General features: G+C 44.1%; 1 protein-coding gene and 1 non-coding gene across 4 annotated transcripts in view, besides 1 other annotated feature; one reads left to right on the plus strand and one right to left on the minus strand.

Moving 5' to 3' along the window:
• Positions 1–13,126, minus strand: part of ADGRA3 (adhesion G protein-coupled receptor A3) — a 128,691-nt gene extending 115,565 nt beyond the window's left edge. For all 3 annotated transcript variants that reach the window (XR_007096381.1, NM_145290.4, XM_005248137.6), the window contains exon 1: positions 12,588–13,126. Coding sequence is in view for 2 of the 3 variants with exons in the window: in NM_145290.4 (NP_660333.2) it covers positions 12,588–12,844 (257 nt within the window). In the remaining variant the exon portion in view is untranslated. The remainder of the gene's footprint in view (positions 1–12,587) is intronic.
• On the plus strand, positions 12,372–12,445 carry MIR12115 (microRNA 12115). The gene has a single exon (NR_162129.1). It is a non-coding gene; the product is annotated as a microRNA 12115 (primary transcript).
• Positions 19,991–20,685: an enhancer, noted in NCBI's record as "OCT4-NANOG hESC enhancer chr4:22524554-22525248 (GRCh37/hg19 assembly coordinates)". NCBI's record gives its function as "activates a minimal SCP1, AML or CMV promoter by ChIP-STARR-seq in primed H9 embryonic stem cells {active_cell/tissue: H9 hESC(primed)}" and the evidence as "EXISTENCE:reporter gene assay evidence [ECO:0000049][PMID:30033119]".

The following is a 22,718-nucleotide window of genomic DNA, read 5'->3' on the forward strand; positions in this document are numbered from 1 at the left end:
CAAAGATTTACTGAGTGCTTACATGCTAGACTCTAGGGATGCAGAGATAAATATGGCCATCAAGAGTCTACAATCTAGTAGGAGAACTAGGGTTGTAAATAAATAATTCCAAAACAGTATGACAGCTGTCACAATGCAAGCAAACAGGAGGTAGGAGGTGGTCCTAAGGAATGAAGAGCCAGCCTAACACTGTCCACTGGGGTAGACTGCACTTCCAGGTTACTGGAAAGACTTTAGAATTCTAACTGCATCTTAGGCACAAAGGATGAGTTTACATTTGGTCTCATTTAAAACAAATAAACAAACAGCAGGTTAAAAATAATAATAAATCTAATAGAAAGTTTATCCATCTTAAACACTGCCCTGGAGATGAATACACCAGTAGTCAATCTCTCTTTGCCTTTCTCATAAGAAAAGAATCAGGAAGAATTGCACAATAAAACAAAGAATGCTTTTAAGTCTTATCTTGATGGGAAATGAATTAATTACTCAGATCCAAGCAGGCTTAAAGAAAGAACATTTCAACAACTATGTTAAAGAACCTGCATTACAGTTATATCTCCATACTTGCTCTTTCTTTCAATTAACTAGAAGGAGGCACAACCTGCTTTCTACTATTCCACCCACAATACAAGGCCATGGCAGCACTGGCTGTTAAATGCCTGTCACTATACTAGGTACTATGGATACATGAGGAAACTGACACCTCAATAGAACTGACATTCTAGATAGGACCAGGTCACATACTTGGAACCATGTATTCTAACTGAGAAATGTCCTCATATTGGGAGTGAATTTAATTCACGAACATTTACCGATCGCATTTACTAATCACATACTGTGTATGATGTTTACAGTACTTGGGGAGAGGGCAGAGAATGGTACTGAGACTGGGGAGCTTAGACAACTTAAGGGAACCTCTATGTCTCCCTAGTCTTGGTAGGGGCACATTTATTCTTCTTGTGTGGAGACATCTTAGCCTTCAAGAACAATTCTTGAACATGAGGGGCGCAGCACTTTAACATACAGAGTTAGCAATTTTGACAAAAGATTTTCTCATGCTTATCACAGCCCTGTCTTCAGACAGAATCATAAAAAGGGCTTAATAAAAATTCTAAATAGAATGAAGCCTAAATTGTCCATGGTGAGGGTGATGGATAATTTAGCCTTCTGTGTGTGTGATACCCAATTCTACACACCTGCCCCCAACCATGGTGAGTACTCAAGAAAAAAAGATTGCAAATATGCACAATTCAAATATTATGCAATTTAAACTTCAGAAGGCAAAATAGGGGAAAGAAAAAAAAAGACAAAAAATGTAAGTTTTAAAAACTTTATTTAAATTAAGAACCAAGAATGTCAGTCATCTGAAATGATGAGGCGCTAAAAGAAACTACCAAATGCCTGATACCCAAGTTGGTTCAGTTTCGCAGCCTGACAACAAAGCTGTGTGTCCTGACAAAGAAAATCTCGCGTCTCTCCAAGGTGCCTGTCAATAGCAGGCCCTCAAATACTGTTGGACAGATGCTTGCTGCTGTTAGCCCTCTCATTTTATTCATTCAACTCCACAGTACATCTCTAAAACCTTATTGTCCTTACCCTTGGCTTCAGCACGCCACTCTCTGCTTTACCAATAGTCGTTTTTCCTGGCTTCTATGAATAAGGCCCTGTCCTGAAGCTCTCAGCTCTCTGTCCTAGAAATGTCTCTTGATTTCATCGTCTTTCCTCTGCTTGTACCAGCCCCTCCCTCTCACATGAGGTAGCTGCCCTCAACTGGCTCCTGTACTCTTTCTTCTACCTTCTTTTTTTGTGGCAGATGACAGATGGTGACTAGGATTAACCCTTCAGGTCGCTGGGCTACTAAGCAGCAGGTTCTCAACCCAAGTGTTACCAGAACCACCCAACGAGGCTCCGAAAAATACCAATGTCCAGGCCCCATCCCTGAACAATACATCAGAACATGAAGTCTGTGGTCCAAGCATCTGAACTTTTAATGCTTTCTGTTGATTCAAACGCAAGGTTGAAAACCTCAACCGCAAACTGACCAACCAGGTTACAGGAAGGTAGGGTAACTACTCCTCTGATGCTGGGACTTGGATGGATGCAAGCCTAGTGCAAAGCGCTCTGGCCAGGAGCATCCTTCACCATTTCACTCCAGTGCACACATCATCATTGTCTATCTGTGTCATGGCATGAAAAATCTTGGCTAGAACTGCCATAAATAATGCAGATGACTGTGTGAGTCACTTAGCAAGTCTAAGACATTCTAGGTGGAAAAAAGGTTTTGTGCCCAGCAGTGGGACATGGGAAAAAAAGCAATGATGGTCACAGAGCAAAAAGACCCACCAGTCCCTTTGGCAAGGTTGTTCTTAAAACCGTCTTGCAAATTCTCCTTTAGAAACTCCCGTTGCCCATTTAGAATTTCTGAAATTCTGGCCAGGCACTGTGGCTCATGCCTGTAATCCCAGTGCTTTGGGCAGCTGAGGTGGGCGGATCATTTGAGGGAAACCAACCTGGCCAAGATGATGAAACCACATCTCTACTAAAAATACAAAAATTAGCTAGGCATGGTGGTGGGCGCCTGTAATCCCAGCTACTCGAGAGGCTAAGGCAGGAGAACGGTTTGAGCCCGGGAGACGGAGGTTGCAGTGAGCAGACATCGCGCCACTGCACTCCAAGCTGGGCGACAGAGCGAGACTCTGTCTCAAAAAAAAAAAAAAAAGAATTTCTAAAATTCCACGGTTATCCCCCTGCTGTTTTAGCAGAGTATAACAATAGAGGAAGATGCAGATTAAATCACATCAAAAAGAGCTACAGGGTCACATCTAACCGAGGGGAGGTATGACAGATATTGAACAGCTAGAAGGCAAGAGGTGAAGCTCTAGGAAGAGGTACAAGACTAAGATAAAACTGGTCTAGTAGACCAAAAGAAAAGTCAAGCCCAGAGATAAGAAGTCACATACATCCACAACCAGGGGTGGCACTGAATATTTGCTAAATGAATGCAAAAGCAAGTTTAGGATACAAATTTAGGAAACTAGGATACAAATTATCAAGAATGCAACTGGAGAAGAGTAAATACCAAAAGTGAAAGTTTCGGTCTTTGGCCAGCCCATACTGTATGCAGGAAGGCACAGATTTACCCTGGGACTCACCCCCTGCAGACAAAAAAGAACAAAAAAACCAGGGGTGCTGAAGATGGGGGGAGAAGCAGGAAGGTGCTGGAGTATTTTTCTATCAATCTCTTAAACCTTCCATTTTTACCCTTCAGGCCCTGAACAGGAAAGATCTGAGGACAAGAAATGCTTTGCTGGATGAAAAGCAAAATAAGGCCGGGCACAGTGGCTCATGCCTGTAATCCCAGCACTTTGGGAGGCCAAGGTGCACCAATCACTTGAAGTCAGGAGTTCAAGACCAACCTAGCCAATGTGGAGAAAACCCATCTCTAGCAAAAATACAAAACTTAGCCAGGCATGGTGGTGCGTGTCTGTGGTCCCAGCTACTCGGGAAGCTGAGGCACAAGAATCACTTGAGACAGGGAGGCAGAGGTTACACTGAGCCAAGATCGCACCACTGCACTCCAGCCTGGGTGACAGAGTGAGACCCTATCTCAAAAACAAACAAACAAACAAACCAAGGCAAAAGCAAAGCTTAGTATCTGCAATGTGCTCAGTGTGGTACTAAAAGTGGCCAATACAGACATGTGCCTTCTGGGAGGCACCTACCTCATCTCTGTCCCACTCTACCCGCTACACATAGGTAATTCCCTTACTAGACATGCAACATTTCTGAAACTTTAGTCAAGACGGAAAAAAAAAAATCCTTGGGAGGAATAGTGTACTTTTGTAAAGCTCCCTCTTCAGACTAAAATTGTGTGTATTTGAACATAAATGTAAGCTAAACTGTACATCAAGCATTAAAATTATATTGTTTTACATTAAAAACTTATTGAGCAAGTTTGCATTTATAGCTTCCTAATCTTTGCAAAAACTGAGTTAATAAGCTACTAATACTCGGCCAGGTGCAGTGGCTCACAGTTGTAATCCCAGCACTTTGGGAGGTCAAGGCGGGCGGATCACGAGGTCAGGAGCTGGAGAGTATCCTTGCTAACACGATGAAACCCCATCTCTACTAAAAATTAAAAAAAAAATTAGCCGGGCATGGTGGCGGGTGACTGTAGTCCCAGCTACTCAGGAGGCTGAAGCAGGGGAATGGCGTGAACCCAGGTGGTGGAGCTTGCAGTGAGCCGAGATCGCGCCACTGCACTCCAGCCTGGGCAACAGAGCAAGATTCCATCTCAAAAAAAATAAAATAAATAAAATAAGCTACCAATACTCAAAGAACTCTGTATTCTAATCTTTGTTTATAAGAAAAATGTCGACACAATAAATTAGCTCTGTTCTCTAGAGTTAAGATTCCTCCAGAGCATCAAGCCAGTAAACTACTGCTTCCTGAGAGGCAGCTGAATGGAAAAATAAGTCACTGAATAGTCTTCTAAGAAACTACATCCCGTGTCATTTTCTGAGTTACTTTCAGGAGTTTTTACTTCTGTCTTTGTCTGTTTTTTAAACCATCTTTACAGGCTCCTGGGAACAGAAGCTGGAGCTGCACTGGGAGCAACCTCACCAAACATTATCATATTCGTTTGTTTTGGGACTTGGTATCCTGCCAAACCCACCAACTTCTCCTGGTGCTGGAGGACTCCAAGCAGGCAAGAAACAACAGGATTTTGAGGCTGGGTGATAAGCAACCCTGTCATCATATCAGAAAAGCTTACAACTTGCATTCATGGACCAAATGCCAAACTGTGCCCCCAATCCTGCAAGATTTCTGAGCAATATTCCCGGTAGGAATTCAAGCCACTTCCCAACACAGTCTATGCGTGTGTGTTTGCCACACACATAAGATCAAGGAGATCACATGTGACTGCAGATAGATTGAATATACCCATCCTTGAATCAGGGATCCCACAGCTATGAACCTAATAAACTAAATAAAGACATGTTCTCATTTGCTATAATAAGGTAAACATACGAATTTGCATCCGTCTTCTATCCCCAACTTTTCCTGCTCTTCCACCACGTAGTCGTATCTCTGTTAGCATTACTCTTGCCCATAAAGAACAATTACGTACCCACCCATACTCGAGGCGCTGTGCGAAGACAAGTCAGAGTCCTTGCTTTCAAGGGTATATGCATTCTGAGAGAAGCACCAGTATCATAGAAAGTGACACAAGAGCACAAACACTAATAGCTACCTGGGTTCAGGGATGGAAGGATCAAAATGCCAGAACAGTGAAGAGTTCGTAGCAGCTGAGTTGGGTATTAAAGAATATCCCAGAATTTCCCAGACTGGGCTTCCAAGGCAAGGGTGTCAGCAAAGGCACACAGGAAGCAAAATATAAACTGCTCAGGGGACACTGAGATGTAGACTTTGGTGAAGCAAATAATTTGTATAAAAGACTGACCCTTGGATGAAAGCATCATGTCTTATTTTAACCCTGAAACACTGGCCACTGTGTTTACAACGTAACACTGCCTCAACCGATGTCCATGGAAAAAGTAATCTGTGCTGGGTATTGAGAAATCAGGCTGCAGATGTATGTAAGATTTTGCATTCAAAGATAACAATCTTACTCTTGATCCAATGGCTCTGCTGGTGAGAATTCAGGCTGTGGCGTCTTGCTGGCCTACAGATTATAATCACTTTGCTCCTCTCTCCCTTGGCTGCACTCATCTGGCAAAGAAGCAACCTGGCCACACCCAAGGAGTCCCATCACTAGGCTGAATCCAGGTGGAGAAAAACAATTGCACTGACCATCTCCCTTTGAATCTGATCAGAAGGCAAAACTGCAAAAAGATCCTCCCTGCTGACTTTTCTGCAATCCCCAGTAGGTTCACATTCCAAAAGAACATTTCTCTTCTCTTTCCCCTTCCTCTTGGCCCATTTTCCCCTTGCCCTGCCTAGATATCTTTGAGAAAATAGAAGCAACGGGGCCAAAATTCCCTCTTCGTCCCACCTGCGCCCCACTGCCCTCACGCCTGCCTTGACACCCATGTTCCACCCTTTCTCCCAAGACAAGGTATTGTGCTGAACCCCTACCCACTCCAGATGGGATTGCACCAGGTTCAAGAAGAAGAAACCCAGAGCTAGTGAACAGAACATGGAGTTTCACTGAGGGCTTACATGCAGGGGAGAGAGTTCAGTGCTGGCGGGCTGGACAGGAGAACTGCATGCCCCAGCAGAGAAACTCACAACTTGCAAAAAGCATGCAGTTCACAGCCGGGAGTGGTGGCTCATGCCTGTAGTCCCAGCACTTTGGGAGGCCGAGGCGGGCAGATCACGAGGTCAGCAGTTCAAGACCAGCCTAGCCAACATGGTGAAACCCCATCTCTACTAAAGATCCAAAAAAATTAGCTGGGCGTGGTGGCGTGCACCTGTAATCCCAGCTACTCGGGGCGCTGAGGCAGGAGAATCGCTTGAACCTGGGAGGCGGAGGCTGCAGTGAGCCAAGATCGCCCCACTGCACTCCAGCCTGGGAAACAGGGCGAGACTCCATCTCAAAAAAAAAGAAAAGAAAAGAAAAAAAAAAAGCATGCAGTTCACTCAGCATCTTCACTTAGCACCTTCCCCCGTAGGTAGGGATAACTACTCCTCTGATGCTAGGACTGTTTCGTCTCCACCTGGCAACCTTCAATTAACCCTAAAGGACCTTGATCCCCCATATGGCCCATGCTCCATGGGACAAGATGGAGACTCAGGTGTTCCTCATAGATAAGAAATGACTTGGCCGGGCGCGGTGGCTCACGCCTGTAATCCCAGCACTTTGGGAGGCCGAGGCGGGCGGATCACGAGGTCAGGAGATCGAGACCATCCTGGCTAACACGGTGAAACCCCGTCTCTACTAAAAATACAAAAAATTAGCCCGGCGTGGTAGCGGGCGCCTGTAGTCCCAGCTACTCGGGAGGCTGAGGCAGGAGAATGGCGTGAACCCGGGAGGCGGAGCTTGCAGTGAGCCGAGATCGCGCCACTGCACTCCAGCCTGGGCGACAGAGCGAGACTCCGTCTCAAAAAAAAAAAAAAAAAAAGAAATGACTTTCTGGGTGGGCCACTCCCAGGCTCCCAAGCTTAGAACTCCAAACCACATTCCACATTCAGATACGTCTGCCATACAGTCATTCTCAGACTACACTTAAGTTATTGCTATCTGGTGCACTGACTACACATGTAGAGAATGAACTTCCCTGCTGCCATCAGAAGCCAAACCCTTCATCTGTGCTCCCATCCCACTTCTCTTTTCAGGCCACCCAAATTGGCTTATTCACCTGTGATGCATGGACACTGCTCACGGAGGGCACCAGACTCCTGGCCATCAAATCCAGTGCTGTTTATTCCTTGGTCTTTCTAGCTTAATCTCTCAACACCTCAACTGGGAAGGCCATTCCAGCCTTGACACATAAACTTCTCTTAGCTTCCAGGATGAGATTCTCCCCTGGTGCTCCCCACAGCCTCTGCAGAGGCTCCTTCTCAGCCTCCTGTTCATGTTCCTCTATGTTCTAGTGTGGTTCTGCCTGGGTCACCTCCTCTCCCCTCTGTGCACTCTCTCCTAACTGACCCCAACCAGGCCTGTGTTTGAAATACCACATACGGGCCGGGCCGATGGTTCCAAAAGCTCTCTCCACTATTCGTCCGATACCGTCTCTCCACTTCAAGTGGGCCAGCCACCACCTGCCACCCTTCCTCCCGAATGCCTTCTCCCCACTCAATCCAATCCTTCCCTTCCTTTAGGCCATGCTCAAGTCCTAACTTCTCCAGGAAAATAAAATACCTTCCAAGGACTCCCCAGCCACACTGATCTCTCCCCTGTTTGGGCTTCCTGAAGCACTGAAACAGTCTCCAGCACAGGATTTATTACTTAATGAGGGATAGTCTTTTAATTGTTCCCTAAATGTCTGCTTCCTATTGTGCAAATCCTTCCTCCTAACTAGATTTAAGTCTCTGAACAATACGAGCATTTCTTTTCTTGTACTTTGTACTGAGCCACACTGGTGATGTCCAAAATAATTATTAGTTCTTTGATAACAAACATGAAGAACCAAAACTCTACACACTATTTTAGTGTGTTAGTCTGAGAAAAACCTGGAGGTTATCTGACAAATTACAAGTAATTTTTGTTTTATATTTTTATTTGTCTAGAGTCACCAAGTAGCATCACGAGGAACCCACATTTAGAAAGGCAGTGATAAATTTGTAAAACTTTCCATCAATGAAATCCTCAGAACTTTCAAAACTTACATTATTGAGCAAGATTTAATATAAATCACAGAAATACAGTAAATAAGTATATTTTCAACAAAAACACTAAATGTAGGTAAATTTTTGTTCAATTTCTGTGTTATAATAATAGAAGCGGTTTAATCCCTCAATACAAAAGTCTACCTGAGACACGGGGAACACACAGTTAAGCCTAGGATTTCTGCCAGACCTTTCTTTAAGCATAGCTACAGAAACAAGTGGTGTTCATCAATACTGTTGAAGGATCTGACTTTTAGGCTATGATGAAGACCAGTTCATCCATTAAATAGAAATGGCTTTATTTTTCATGATTTAAAAAAAAATTATATCCCATCTTTGCCATTCTCCCAGTTCCCATCAGTTAATTTTCCTCTCTGTGGCCACATCACGACTCAGCTGAAAACACCTGGCCACACCTAAGTGATAAAGGCTCAAACCAGGGAGCCTGGCCATCCTCGACTCAGCCCCTACAGACTCCTCTGACCACCCTGGGCACCAGACACTTACCTTTGACATTCCGGTAACACCAACTGCACAGCAGCATAACCAGATACTGTCCTCTCCAAACCCGTGGGCACCTGGGGTCCCCCACTTCCAACCTATCATTTCCTCCCCTTGTTCCCTCACCGTTTTCTTCACAGTTATATTTTTCTTTCTTTCTTTTTTTTTTTTTTTTTTTGAGACAGAGTCTCACTCTGTCACCCAGGCTGAAGTGCAGTGGCACGATCTTCACTCACTGCAACCTCCGCCTCCCGGGTTCAAGCGATTCTCCTGCCTGCCTCAGTCTCCCTAGTAGCTGGGATTACAGGTGCAAGCCACCACATCCAGCTAATATCTGTATTTTTAGTAGAGATGGGGTTTCATCATGTTGGTCAGGCTGGTCTCGAACTCCCGGTCTCAAGTGATCTGCCCATCTCAACCTCCCAAAGTACTGCGATTACAGGTGTGAGCCACTGCGCCCGCCCCACAGTGATCTTTTTCCTCTTTCCAGAATTGGCTCAGGATCCTCAATCCCACTAGGATTGAGGGAGAAGGAGGCCCTGGTTGCCCTCCTCTGGGTTTCTTTTGCTACATGTGCACCCTGGTAATAGAGCATTGACCATACTGTTCTGAGACTTAGTCATGAATTTTTCTCCCCAAATATCTGTAATTTCCTGGAGAAGAAAGAGCATGTTTTTATTTGTATTCTGTCATGAGCTGGACAGTGTTTCATAGAAAGAAATGTCCAAGTCCTGACCTTTTAACGTGATCTTACTTGTAAACAGGGTCTTTGCAGATGTATTTAATTAAAGGATCTTGGGATGAGATCATCCTGGACCTAGGGTGGACCCTAAATTCAGTAACTGGTATCCTTATAAGAGAAAGGAGAGGACTTGAGACACACAGACACACAGGGAGAAGGCCAATGGAAGGCAGATGCGGAGACTTAAGTGATGCTGCCCCAAGCCAAGGAAAACCAGAAGATGAGAGACGCAAGCATGAATTCTTCCTAAAGTCCTCAGAGAGAGCATGGCCCTGCTAATAGATTGATTTGGGGTTTGTGGCCTCCAGAACTATGAGCGAATAAATTTGTTGTTTCAAGCCACCAAGCCTGTAGTAATCTGCAGCAGCCCTAGGCACTAACACACAGTCCAAACTTCAACACGCTACCTACTACCTAGAGGCCACTCAACAAAAACTGTGCTCAACTAAGATGAAGGCAAGGTGAGGAATGAGAAAGCATCTGAACTGCAGGACAGGAATCTGGGACGTGGACTCTGATGCTACTATGAGAATTCTGGTGAGCAAGTCCCTTATCTACAGTAACTCTAACTCTTTCCCCAGTAAAATGAGGAAACTGGCCCATAAGACCCCTCTACAGGGGGCCTCATATACCTTGAACCCTCTTCAGCCAGAACAACTTTCCTCTTTTTTTTTTTTTTTTTTTGAGATGGAGTTTCATTCTTGTTACCCAGGCTGGAGCGCAATGGTGCCTTCTTGTCTCACTGCAAACTCCTTCTCCTTGGGTTCAAGCAATTCTCCTGCCTCAGCCTCCCGAGTAGCGACTAGCTGGGATTACAGGTGCACGCCACCACGCCCAGCTAATTTTCTGTATTTTTAGTAGAGATGGGGCTTTAAGCATGTTGGCCAGGCTGGTCTCGAACTCCTGACCTCAGGTGATCCACCCACTTCCACCTCTCAAAGTACTAGGATTACAGGCATGAGCCACCACAACCAGCAGAACAGCTTTAATTGATCCTTAATTGTATCTTCTTCCCATTCACTAAACAAATTTTTTTTTTCTTTTTTTTTTTGAATGGGAGTCTCACTCTGTTACATAGGCTGGAGTGCAGTGGTGCGATTTCGGCTCACTGCAATCTCCACCTCTCGGGTTCAAGTGATTCTCCTGCCTCAGCCTTCCAAGTAGCTGGAATGACAGGCATACGCCACTACGCCTGGCTAATTTTTGTATTTTTAGTAGAGACAGGGTTTCGTCAAGTTGGCCAGGCTGGTCTTGAACTCCTGACCTCAAGGGATCCACCCGCTTTGACCTCACAAAGCCCTGGGATTACAGGTGTGAGCCCACCATGCCCAACCTTAACTTTATTTTCATCTAAAAAGCTTTCAGGCAAAAAAAAAAAAAAAAAAAAAAAAAAAAACTGGATTGAAATGACATTTCATAGTTACTTATATTTTAACCAGTTTCTAAAAATTGTAGAAAAATAGTTTAATTGGTAATATGCTGAAAATCAATTTACCACCATATCCCCTATTTTTTTCTGCAACGCAAAATCAACAATTTACTAGTAGTTGACCTAATCCAGCTGAAATTGTGGACACTTTTAGGTCAGAAAAACTGGACCTAAACATGAGTCAACGTAAATGTCACTCATTGACCCAAAACCTAAATGTTTATAACATAACTGCATGATGACTAATTTTTGCAGAGTAACAAAGAAAATCTCCTCCAACATTGGGATTTTCTCCATTTGGACTGTAATTAAAGTCCCATACCGAAAATTTCCACTTCAAAGAATCTGACTAAGAAATAAATAAATATAACTGCTGCCACCACCACATGGTAACGTGTTAGTAACGGAGTCAAATAAAACAAAAACTCTTTCATCCATCTTCATGCCTCCATAAATAGACACATAGACACAATTTTCATGGTTAAACGTTTCCTAATTCAAAAAATGGAAATGAAGGTAAACAAAAGTGTTAGTAATGAAATGTATACCTGGCCTACCTGTGTATACTCCTGCTGAATTTGGGTTACATTTAAAACCATACTTTAAGTGTTTTCATAGATCATGCTGCGGTCCTTGCATTCATGTTTGTATAGTGGCTGCCTTGATTCTTTTTTTAGGAAACCAACCAAAACAACATAGAGGAACCCCGAGCCAAGGGACTCACATTTCAGTTGAACAAAATACCCATGAGAAACACTTAGACTCAAAACTTTCCAAACCAATTCATCCTTCTGAAAACAAACTCGACAGTCACTGGGGCCAACTGTTCAGCTAGAATTGGCAAAACTACGTTTGCAAAACTGAACCGTGAATCCCAGCACAAGTGAGTTACCAAAATTTTTCCTTCCAGGTGGAAACTCAATCCGAAAATCAAAAATCCCTCGAGTTGGAAGGCTCAATAAACCCACGGTTTTCAGTTCCAATGTTCCTGGCTTTTAAATATAAGCCCTCACAGACACGAAAACGGGACTGCAAGGTACATAAACAGATTGATCTGAAATGTTTCCAGCCCTTAATAACAACTCTATCTTAAAAGGTGCTCTTTAACTGTAATAAAACTAAGATAGCAAAAGGCAAAGGAAGCGTCTTGGGGTTTGGGCTCGCACACAGTCCTTGTGTTTTGCAAACTCTACCACGTAAGTGTAACTTAATTTGCAAAGAAGCAGAAGGACTGGCGCTTGCAATCAAGCATTGTGTTTTCTGGAAACCCAAGCCCAGGATGAATGAGCTTTAACTCTGTTGACTGCGTGTTTACTTGCATCCTCACGTGGCACCGCGCAGCCCAAAAGCGCTGCGCCGGGGACAGCGCGGGGAGCGCCTGAGAACCCGAAAACTTTACTTTGCAAACTAGTGGAGCTGGGAGGCAGCTCGGACGCAGATTCCCTTGCCTTTCCCTGAACTGCACCCATGCCAAGCACACGAGGTCTTTCCTAGCACCGCCCCCTGCCTACAGCTCCACACAAAGGCGCGTGGGTGCCGGCTGGACCCTGCTCCAAAGTTGAGCGGAGAGATAAGAAAGAGCCGAGCGGGAGAGGACCCAGCGTCGCGGGAGATACTCACAGGGTGACCGTGCGGTTGGGCAGAGTATCTGGGGGCAGGACCTGCGCGAGTTCCAGGCTGCTGCACACCACCTTGCCCTCGGCGGCGCCCGCCGCCCTGCCAGCCCCTCGGGGCCGCCCATCGTGCTTGCAGCCGGCGGGCAGCGCCGCGGCGCCGCCGCCGCCGCCGCCTCCCAGCAGCGCGAGCAGCGCTAACAGCGAGAGCGGCAGCAACAGCGGCGGCTGCGCGCGGCCCCGCCGGCGTCCGGGTGGCTCCATGCTGCGGGCCGGGGCCTGCGGGGCGAGCGGCGGCGCACTGGCCTAGCGGGCCGCCCCGGAGCCCGGGCGGGCAGGAGCGCGGCGCGGGCCCAGCGGCGACCGGAGCCTTATGGCGGCCGGAGGACGGGCCTTCCCCGGCGCGGACATGCTCCTTTGTCCGCTGCGGCTGCGCTGGGCCTCTAGGGAGCCGGGGGTCACGGCCGCATGGGTCCCAGCGCCGCTCTACCGCCCGGCGCGAGCACCGCCTCCTCCTCCTCCTCTGCCGCCGCCGCCGCCGCCACTGCCTCCTCCCCTGGCCAGGACCCGCGCGCGGCGGCTCCTCCCCGCCCGCCGCCGGCGGCCGCCCCCGCCCCTTCCCCTCCTCTTTCCCGGCTCTCCTGCTCTCCCCGTGTCTGCAGCTGCCCGGGACCTCGGGGAGGAGGCGCGCGCTCCCGGGACCTGCCGAGCCCGACTCCGACCCGGTGCGCGCCCGGGCCTCGGCCTCCGGGCAGGAGTTGTGGGGAGCCCGCGGGAAGGCAGTAACTCGTAGAGAGAACGGAGGAAAGTTCGAGTCCGAACGGAGGAAAGTTCGAGTCCAAACTCCACCCGCGGTGGCCACTCTCCTGCTCGTTTCCCTTCGCCGCCACCGCGCTCGCACCGCGGGCACAGGACAAAGCAGTCTTGTGCGCTCCTGGAGACTGCCCATGTGGCCCAAGGAGCCTGGCCCGGAGGATGGAGTAGGGACGAGAGTAGGGAATTTCCCTGACCAACCCTATGGGAAAAGTACCCAAAACCAAGTGTTTCGGAAGGAATCGCCTTCTCACCTCATTATGGTAGTCTTATTTGTCCCAAATACACTGGAGCCAGTAAACAGGTTCCTCTTCAATACAGTGAACAATCTGAAGCTGTTTCTGGCCTTCAGCAACAACAGCGATGGTCTCTAAAGGATGCATCTGGACCTCACTAGAAAGGCAGCCTTTTGAAAGAAATTCGACAGGCAAAGATACTTGAGATGTTCACCAGTTCGAGCAATAATGAGCAAACCCTCCAAGAAACCCCAACAGAATTGATTACTCTGACTTCCAGCCTCGCCCTAACATTTGCAAGCCCAGGGCTTACCTACCCTATGTTTAAAATTTTACAAGGACTATATCATGCTAATAAAATATATTCTGTGCTCCTGCCTTGAGAAATTACCTTCATAACAACCTGGAAGGTTTGTAAGCAGGATTCTCAGACACCTTGGAGTTTCTCCCTGAAACATGGCAGGTGGGAAAGAGTCAGATCCAAACCTTTGGCCTGTACACCTTCACCGTCTTTGCTTCCTGTGCCCAGCTATCTTCAAGGACAAGAGGGGATTTTTTGTACCTGTGTGTGAACACCGCAGCCCACAAAACCAAGTTCTGTTCACACTTTCTAACAGCCACCCTCTGTCTGCGTCTGGATCTCAGGTGTGCCTATACCAGTTGTTGGGTCCTTCATTGGGAGGACAGTTCTCAGAAGAAGCTAGCTCAGGGCCAAGAAGTGGCTTTGGTAATACCAGTCAGGGAATTCCAGGGTCCTGGGTCTTGGGGACATAGTGGGTACCCAGGCTTTGGGTGCTGGCCTGGAGATTTTTCACCCCATAAGAAGAGTCAGGTTGGTGTCCTCTAAAATGGAGGGCCTAGAACACGGTTTTTCTTGCTTGGGTCTAAGGACACTACTGCCTCTGGCCCCTACAAAATTTATCTTAGGGACCAATTTGCAGGAATCTGTTTATCTGGCTAGAGCTTTCTCAATGGGAAGTAAATAAATGGTCTCCATTTATCATTTATCAGTGTTGTATTAAATTTGAATAGCAGTTCATTTGACCAACCCAACCATGTCCAGTGCTGTCTAATAATACATTCTGTGATTGTATAGCTGTTCTAGTTCTTTGCTGTCTAATATGGTGGCCAACTGTGGCTACATAGTGTGTGGAATGTAGATAGTGTGCAATAAGAATTAAATTTTTCATTTCATTTTAATTAATTTACATTTGAATTTAAATGCCCAGTGGCTACCCTGTTGGTGTTGAACAACATAAGCCCAGACACTATGATGGGAAGAAAAAGTGGGAGATTATCTGCACCATTAAGTGACTTCGGATCTATAAATAACCTTAGCAGGCACACTGGTGCCTCTGTGTTAAGGTGGGTGAAATGGATCACATTTCTCTTGAATTTATCTGAAGAATTATTATTCCCTAACAAAATAATGATCTGTTTTTTGATTAAGATAAAACCTTACTACAGATTGAGCATTGAGCATCCCTAATCCAAAAATCCAAAACCTGAAATGCTCCAAAATCCAAAACTTTTTGAGTTCCGACAAGTAATACCTCAAGTGCAAAATTCCACACCTGGTCACATGTGATGGGTCACCATCAAAATGCAGACACACTATGCAGTTTACTAGCATCCCCAAGGGAAAAAAGCCCCTCCCAGCCCTTTTCTGCTGCTATATATCTTTTCAGGGCATGCCTAAATTCCCCCATGCAAGCGTGCCCCCCAAAGGTAATCAAATGGCATGCATGCAGGCTGGATTTGCCAACGACAAGTTCCCCACAATGCCCACACTGGGCCTTCATCTACGTGCATTACTCACTGTGGGTTTGCTTTTTTGTTGTTTTTTGGTTTTTGTTTTCCTTTTCTTTGCTCTGTGGTGTAAAGCTATTGTTAGTATAAAGAAATATCAGGCCGGGTGCAGTGGCTCACACCTGTACTTCCAGCACTTTGGGAGGCCAAGGCGGGCGGATCACGAGGTCAGGAGTTTGAGACCAGCCTGGCCAACATAGTGAAACCCCGTCTCTACTAAAAATACAAAAAAATCAGCCAGGTGTGGTGGCGGGCACCTGTAATCCCAGCTACTTGGGAGGCTGAGGCAGGAAAATCGCTTGAACCAGGGAGGTGGAGGTTGCAGTGAGCCGAGATCGTGCCACTGCACTCCAGCCTGTGTGACAGCGCAAGACTCCATCTCCAAAAAAAAAAAAAAAAACAAAAGAAAAAAAAAAAGAAATATCAAAGAAGCCTGAAGTTAATCTGTGGTTATCAGTGATAAAAAGAGGAAGCATTTATTATGTTTATGCAACAGAGTCCAGCTGTTAGAGAAACTGGACAGTGGTATGGGTATGAGATTTGTTACAGAAAAGTATGGTGACAGAATGACCGCCATGTATAATCTGAAGAAACAGAAGGATAAATTGAAGATCTATGCTAAAAGCGATAAACACAAGTAAATGAAAAATAGAAAAACACTGTATGATGCAAAATATGAAGATCTCAATTGTGCACTGAAAAAGTGGATCCATCGGCATCACAGTGACCACATGCCACTTAATGGTATGCTGATCATGAAACAAGCAAAGATCTATCACAATGAATTTGAAATTGAAAGGAACTGTGACTATTCAACAGGCTGGTTGCAGATATTTAAGCAAAGACACAGCACTAAATGTTTAAGGATTTGTGGTGATAAAGCATCTGCAGATCAGAAAGCTGTGGAAAAAGTCATTAATGAGTTTGCCCATATCATCGCTGATGAAAACTGGATACCAGAGCACGTCTATAATGCTGACGAAACATCACTATTTTGGCATCATTGCCCCAGAAAGACACTGACGGTGGCAGATGAGACAGCCTCTATAGGAATTAAAAATGCCAAGGACAGAATAGCTGTGCTGGGATGTGCTAATGTTGCAGGCACGCATAAGTGTAAACTTGCTGTGATAGGCAAAGGTTTGTCCTCTCTTTTTTTCAAGGAGTGAATTTCTTATCAGTCCATTATTCTGCTAACAAAAAGGCATGGATGACCAAGGACATCTTTTCTGATTGATTTCACAAACATTTTGTACCAGAGGCATACAGTCACTGCAGGAAAGCTGAACTGGATGACGACTACAAGATTTTATATTCCTTGACAACTGTTCTGCTTATTCTCCAGCTGAAATTCTTATCAAAAATCATGTTTATGCCATGTACTTCCCCACAAATGTGACTTTATTGATTCAGCTATGTGACCAGGATATCCTTAAAGCATTGAAGGATAAATATAAAAATACTTTCTTGAACAGCATGCTAGCAGCAATAAACAGAAGAATGGGCGTGGAGGTTTTCAAAAAAAGTTTAGTATGAGGCCGAATGCAGTGGCTCATGCCTGTAATCCCAGCACTTTGGGAGGCCGAGGCAGGTGGATCACCTGAGGTCAGGAGTTCAGGACCAGCCTGGCTAACATGGTGAAATCCTGTCTGTACTAAAAAATACAAAAATTAGCCAGGCATGGTGGCGGGCACCTGTAATCCCAGCTACTCCGGAAGCTGAGACAGGAGAATTGCTTGAACCTGGAAGGCGGAGGTTGCAGTGAGCTGAGATCACGCCATTGCACTCTGGCCTGGGTGACAAGAGCGAAACTCCATCTCAAAAAAAAAAAAAAAATTTTAGTCTGCAGGATGCCATATATGCTGTTGCCTATGCTTGGAACATAGTGACTATAGACAAAGTTGTGCATGCCTGGCACAATCTCTGGCCTGCAACTATGTTCAGTGATGATAAACAAGGTAGTGACTTTGAAGGATTGTGTATGTCAAGTGAGAAAAAAAATAACGGCTGATCTACTCACACATGCAAAAAATATACCCCCAATGTCTGTCTGTCTGTAAGCTGGAAGAAGTGAATATCAAACAATGTTTATCATGGATAATGAGGCTCCAGTTGTTCATTCGCTGACCAATGATGAAGTAGCTGAAATGGTTTTGAATCAAGTTGATCGTGATAATCAGTGACAATGAAGATGATGTTAACACTACAGAGAAAGTGCCTATAAATGACATGGTGAAAATTTGTGATGGGCTTACTGAAGGACTAAAGCAATGTTCATTCATAACAGAACAAGAAATAATGTTGGTTTATATAATCAAAGAGGGACTTCTAAGACAAAAACAGTTGGTAATGGGGCAGATGACTGGAGAAAACATTTTAAAAAGGCATCCAGCTGAATGCCTCAGAGGACCCACTTTCTAGTCCTTCAACTATTTCTAAGATTTCTTCTTATCTAAAAAAATAAAATACAGTGTACAGTAACTATATAATTAAAACACAGCATCATAGGTGGAGACTGAACACTGCTATTGCTTGTTGTTGTTATTCTTTAACAGCTGATGGAGGTATTCTGGGGGTGCTACTCTGCTGCTTAGTTACCCCGAACACTTTATTTTTTCACTGCATTAATGGTATGTCATGTTTTCTACTGTTAAGTACTTATGTGTGAATAAATGTAAGAAAATGATTATTTATCAGTAGCATATACATTCAGAGTCAGGAATGATGGTGATGCCAAACAACCACAGATTATCCACGTGGGTGGCTGAGCCAGGGACACCTTTGCTCTTTGATGGTTTGATAGACACAAACTTTGTTTCCTGCATAAAATTATTTAAAATATTGTATAAAATTACCTTCAGGCTATGTGAATAAGGTATACATGAAACATAAATAAATTTTGTTTTTAGACCTGGGTCCCATCCCCAGAATATCTCATTATATATATGCAAATATTCCAAAATCCAACATAAAAACACTTCTGGCCAGCTATGGTGGCTCATTTCTGTAATCCCAGCACTTTGGGAGGTCAAGGTAGGAGGAGCTCTTGAGGCCAGGAGTTCAAGGCTGCAATGAGCTATGACATCACCACTGTACTCCAGCCTGGTGAAAAAAGCAAGACCATGTCTCAAAAACAAAACAAAACAAAACTTTTGATCCCAAGAATTTGAGATAAGGTGTGCAACCTATATAGCAATATATAGTTTTTAATAACCATAAAAACCATTTATATTGATGTAGCCAGAAATAGTCATGTGAAGTTAAAGTATGGGAATATTTTGAAGTCTATATTTGAAGTAAGTTAATGTGTCTATTTTGAAATGTTTACCACTAATACTAATATCAATTTGGTATATATCCTCTTTTTACTTCATTGTAATTGGAAAAGTTATTAAAAAGTACAGAATTTTCAGAAAAAAAGAGATATCCAAGTGGTACCATGAATCCAGGGATTAATATGGAGAAAATGTTTTTTATTATAGGGATAATTTCAGCCACTGTTGCACAGAAATCACTCATACTATCTTTGAAAAAAACAAAAGGTCTTTATAGATCATATACACTAGTATATTAAAGCTGGAACTAACTTGAGAAAGTATATTTTTCAGCACTGTAGTCATTCAAATGCCCAGAACCCTGAGTTATTATTATATCCCAGCGTGGGTTTATGAGGACATGACAAATAATCCTTTCTACACTTACAAAGGTCTCAGAGGATGACACTTTCTGAAACTGTCTCTTACCCCTCAGTCACACCAACATCTAAGCTTGAATTAAGCTACCCTAGCCCAGACAGCCTCTTGCCAAACAGGTCTATCTACTGGTGATCCTCCCTCAGGCCTCAAGAGCATCACACCATTTGCAGCTGAAGAAATTAATAGGTCCTTTGAAAGTTCTCACTGTGTTTGTAATTGTTCTACTTTAGAATGTGCTATAGAAATCACTTGTTAACCATACTCAGGCATATATTGTCCAGCAGAACTGTATTGCATCAACTGTTGCTTTAAGGATGGTAGATGGACCACATTCCAATGATTCTGTGCGGTGAATCCTGTCTTGCTGTGTTATGTAAGGCTCGTAGGAGAGTCAAGAGAAATACACAAATATGCTTTGTTTTTCTTCTTAATAGAGAAACTGTATTAACTCTGTGTAGGTATGTGTGTAAATATATATATTTATATGTGTAAACAATGAGTATGTATATATGTAAGTATACATGTTTATATAAAATATATGTGTATCCAGATGTATTATTAACGATTTTTTTCACGTCTGTCTTTCTTCTCTACCAGACTATGAGCTTCTGAGAGCTTTTCTTTACCTGCTTCTTAAATCACTCCGTCCCACCTTCCATTATTCCCTATTACATTACTCTAGAATCTAGACTTATTATCTAGATGGAATCTTGATAATCTTCACAGCTTGTCCAAACCTGCACATAGCTTATTTTCTAATTTGTTTACATTTTTATGTTGTTAGCCTCCCCCACTAATATCAGCTCTATGATGCTCTTATTTACTTTTTATGACACACACTGTTGGTAGCTGCCACAGAGTCATTCTCAAACTTTTTCTCACTTAGAGCTGGGTAATCACTTTCCCACCTTCTGTTAGTGGTCATATGGCCCAGTTGTAGCCAAGAAGAATTAAAGGCTATGCTGTTCAATATGGTAGATGTGAACCCGGAATATCTGAGACAGGTCTCAGTTAATTTAGAAAGTTTATTTTGCCAAGGTTGAGGACATGTGCCTGTGACACAGCCTCAGGAGGTCCTGACGACACGTGCCCAAGGTGGTCGGGGCACAGCTTGGTTTTACACATTTTAAGCAGGGAGGGGGTTTCCAGGTCACAGGTAGGTGAGAGACAAATGGTTGCATTCTTTTGAGTTTCTGATTAGCGTCTCCAAAGGAGGCAATCAGATATGCATTTATCTTGGTGAGCAGTGCGATGACTTTGAATAGACTGGAAGGCAGGTTTGCCCTAAGCGGTTCCCAGCTTGACTTTTCCCTTTAGCTTAGTGATTCTGGGGTCCCAAGATTTATTTTCCTTTCACATAGCCTCTAGACACATGTAGGTAACTAAATTTATTTATGTATTTATTTTTTGAGACAGGATCTCGATCTGTCACCCTGGCCAGAGTGAAGTGGTGGGATCATAACTCACTGTGGTCTCAAACTCCTGGGCTCAAGCAATCCTCTCGCCTCAACCTGCTGAGTAGCTAGGAAAATGGGCACACGCCACCATGACCAGCTAACTCTTTTTTTTAAGGGATGGGGGTCTTATGTTGCCCAGGATGGTCTCAAACTCCTGAACTCAAGCAATCCTCCTGCATTGGCCTTCCAAAGTGCTGGGATTACAGGCTTAAGCCACTCTGCCTAGGTATAAATTTTAATTTTAATTAATTAAAATGAAATGAAATAAAACTAAACATTCAGTTCTTTTTTTTTTTTTTTTTTTTTTTTTTTTTTTTTAGACGGAGTCTTGCTCTTTCGCCCAGGCCGGAGTGCAGTGGCGCGATCTCATCTCACTGCAAGCTCCTCCTCCCGGGTTCACGCCATTCTCCTGCCTCAGCCTCCCAAGTAGCTGGGACTACAGGTGCCTGCCACCGTGCCCGGCTAATTTTTTGTATTTTTAGTAGAGACGGGGCTTCACCGTGTTAACCAGGATGGTCTCAATCTCCTGACCTCGTGATCCGCCCGCCTCAGCCTCCCAAAGTGCTGGGATTACAGGCGTGAGGCACTGCGCCCGACCACATTCAGTTCTTTAGGCAGTCTAGCCATACTCAAGTGCTCACAAGCTACATGCCACTGGTGGATACCATTTTTGATAACACAGACTATAGCATAGTTCCAACATCTTAGAAAGTTATTCTGGTTGACACCAATGTGAGGGGAAGTTGACTGAGAAGCTGCAGGATGGAGTGGTGTGTGTTTGTGTGTGTGTGTGTGATGAAAAGAGGCTTCCATGAGAAGACCTCTCTCTCACCACACCCATTCTTCAAGCTTTGGACATGGTCTTGTGAGAACATTGTCTTGTGAGGCCTGGAGCTGAAGCAGGTATTTTGTGACCACCAGACAAACAGCCTAAAGGAAAAGTCCAACATAATAAAAGGGAACGGAAGGACAGAAACCATCTAGGTCCCTGAGGTCATAGTTGAACTGCCAGTCAACTCTCTGGATTTATTTATCAATAACGAGTATTCCCAGGTTTAAGCCACTCCTATTATGGTTTTCTAGGGCCAAGGACAGTGCCTGACACACAGAGAGAACTCAAAAACACTTGATTCATGTAGTTAAATTTTATTCATTTTTATGTTCTAAACATCACAGTTCCTTGTGTATATTGGCTAAGGACTAAAAGTTTTGTTAGAAATGAATATTTTGAATAACTAGGCATAGACTCCCAGCTAAAGTCAAATAACTTGAGATGATTGACTAAAGTTCAGTCTTCTGTAGTCAAATGGAAATCTGTAATGTTACGATGAAATTAACAGCAGAACAGCAATTTTTAGCACTTGAAAAGTCTCAATGACACCTCTATAAGCCCTGTTAATAACAGACATTCTCTGTTTATTTTTGCATCATTTAATGTTAATTTGTTAATTTTGACAGCTGTAGTTTATATTTTTGGGCATTACATAGCATGTGCTATCATATGAGCTTGGTCATTATTCAGGATCCGGATAGGAACAGCAGTAGTATCTCAAATAACCTCCAGCTTCTTTAGACAGCATTGGCTCCTGTTCTGTCTTACTAGTTGCTAGAAATAGTGACGTTTGGCAAGTCGCTATATCTCATCTTTCAAAATGAAAGCTTGAACTGGAATCAGTTTTAAAGTGCTATGATTTTTATCCTGCTGAACCATGAATTCTTCTTTTGTTTGTCTGCTGCAGCCAGACTATTATTGGAATGTATTCCGATAATAGTGACAGTTAAATGCTCTCTTTAGATGCTCAAATACCTTTCTGAAATGGTATATTCTTTACCCACTCCAGTGTAATTACCATCAATTGTAAATATAAGGAAGAAATATGAGGCAAAAATTGACCAGCACTGCCATGTGGGGAATTACTTTCATGCAATGGTAGTTTCCAGGTATACAACCAGGCAGGTGAGCACAGATGTCATCGAATAGGAAGGTTCACAGTTCAAATTAAGATGCTCAAATCACACAGTTTATTACATCAATCTAAAACATACAGTGAGAAGCAAAGGAAAGAGGGTAGATTAATCCTTGAAGGATAGGGTACAAACAGATGAAAGGTCATGTCACCTGAATATC

This window comes from Homo sapiens, chromosome 4 (assembly GCF_000001405.40).
Source record: "Homo sapiens chromosome 4, GRCh38.p14 Primary Assembly".
NCBI lineage: Eukaryota > Metazoa > Chordata > Mammalia > Primates > Hominidae > Homo > Homo sapiens.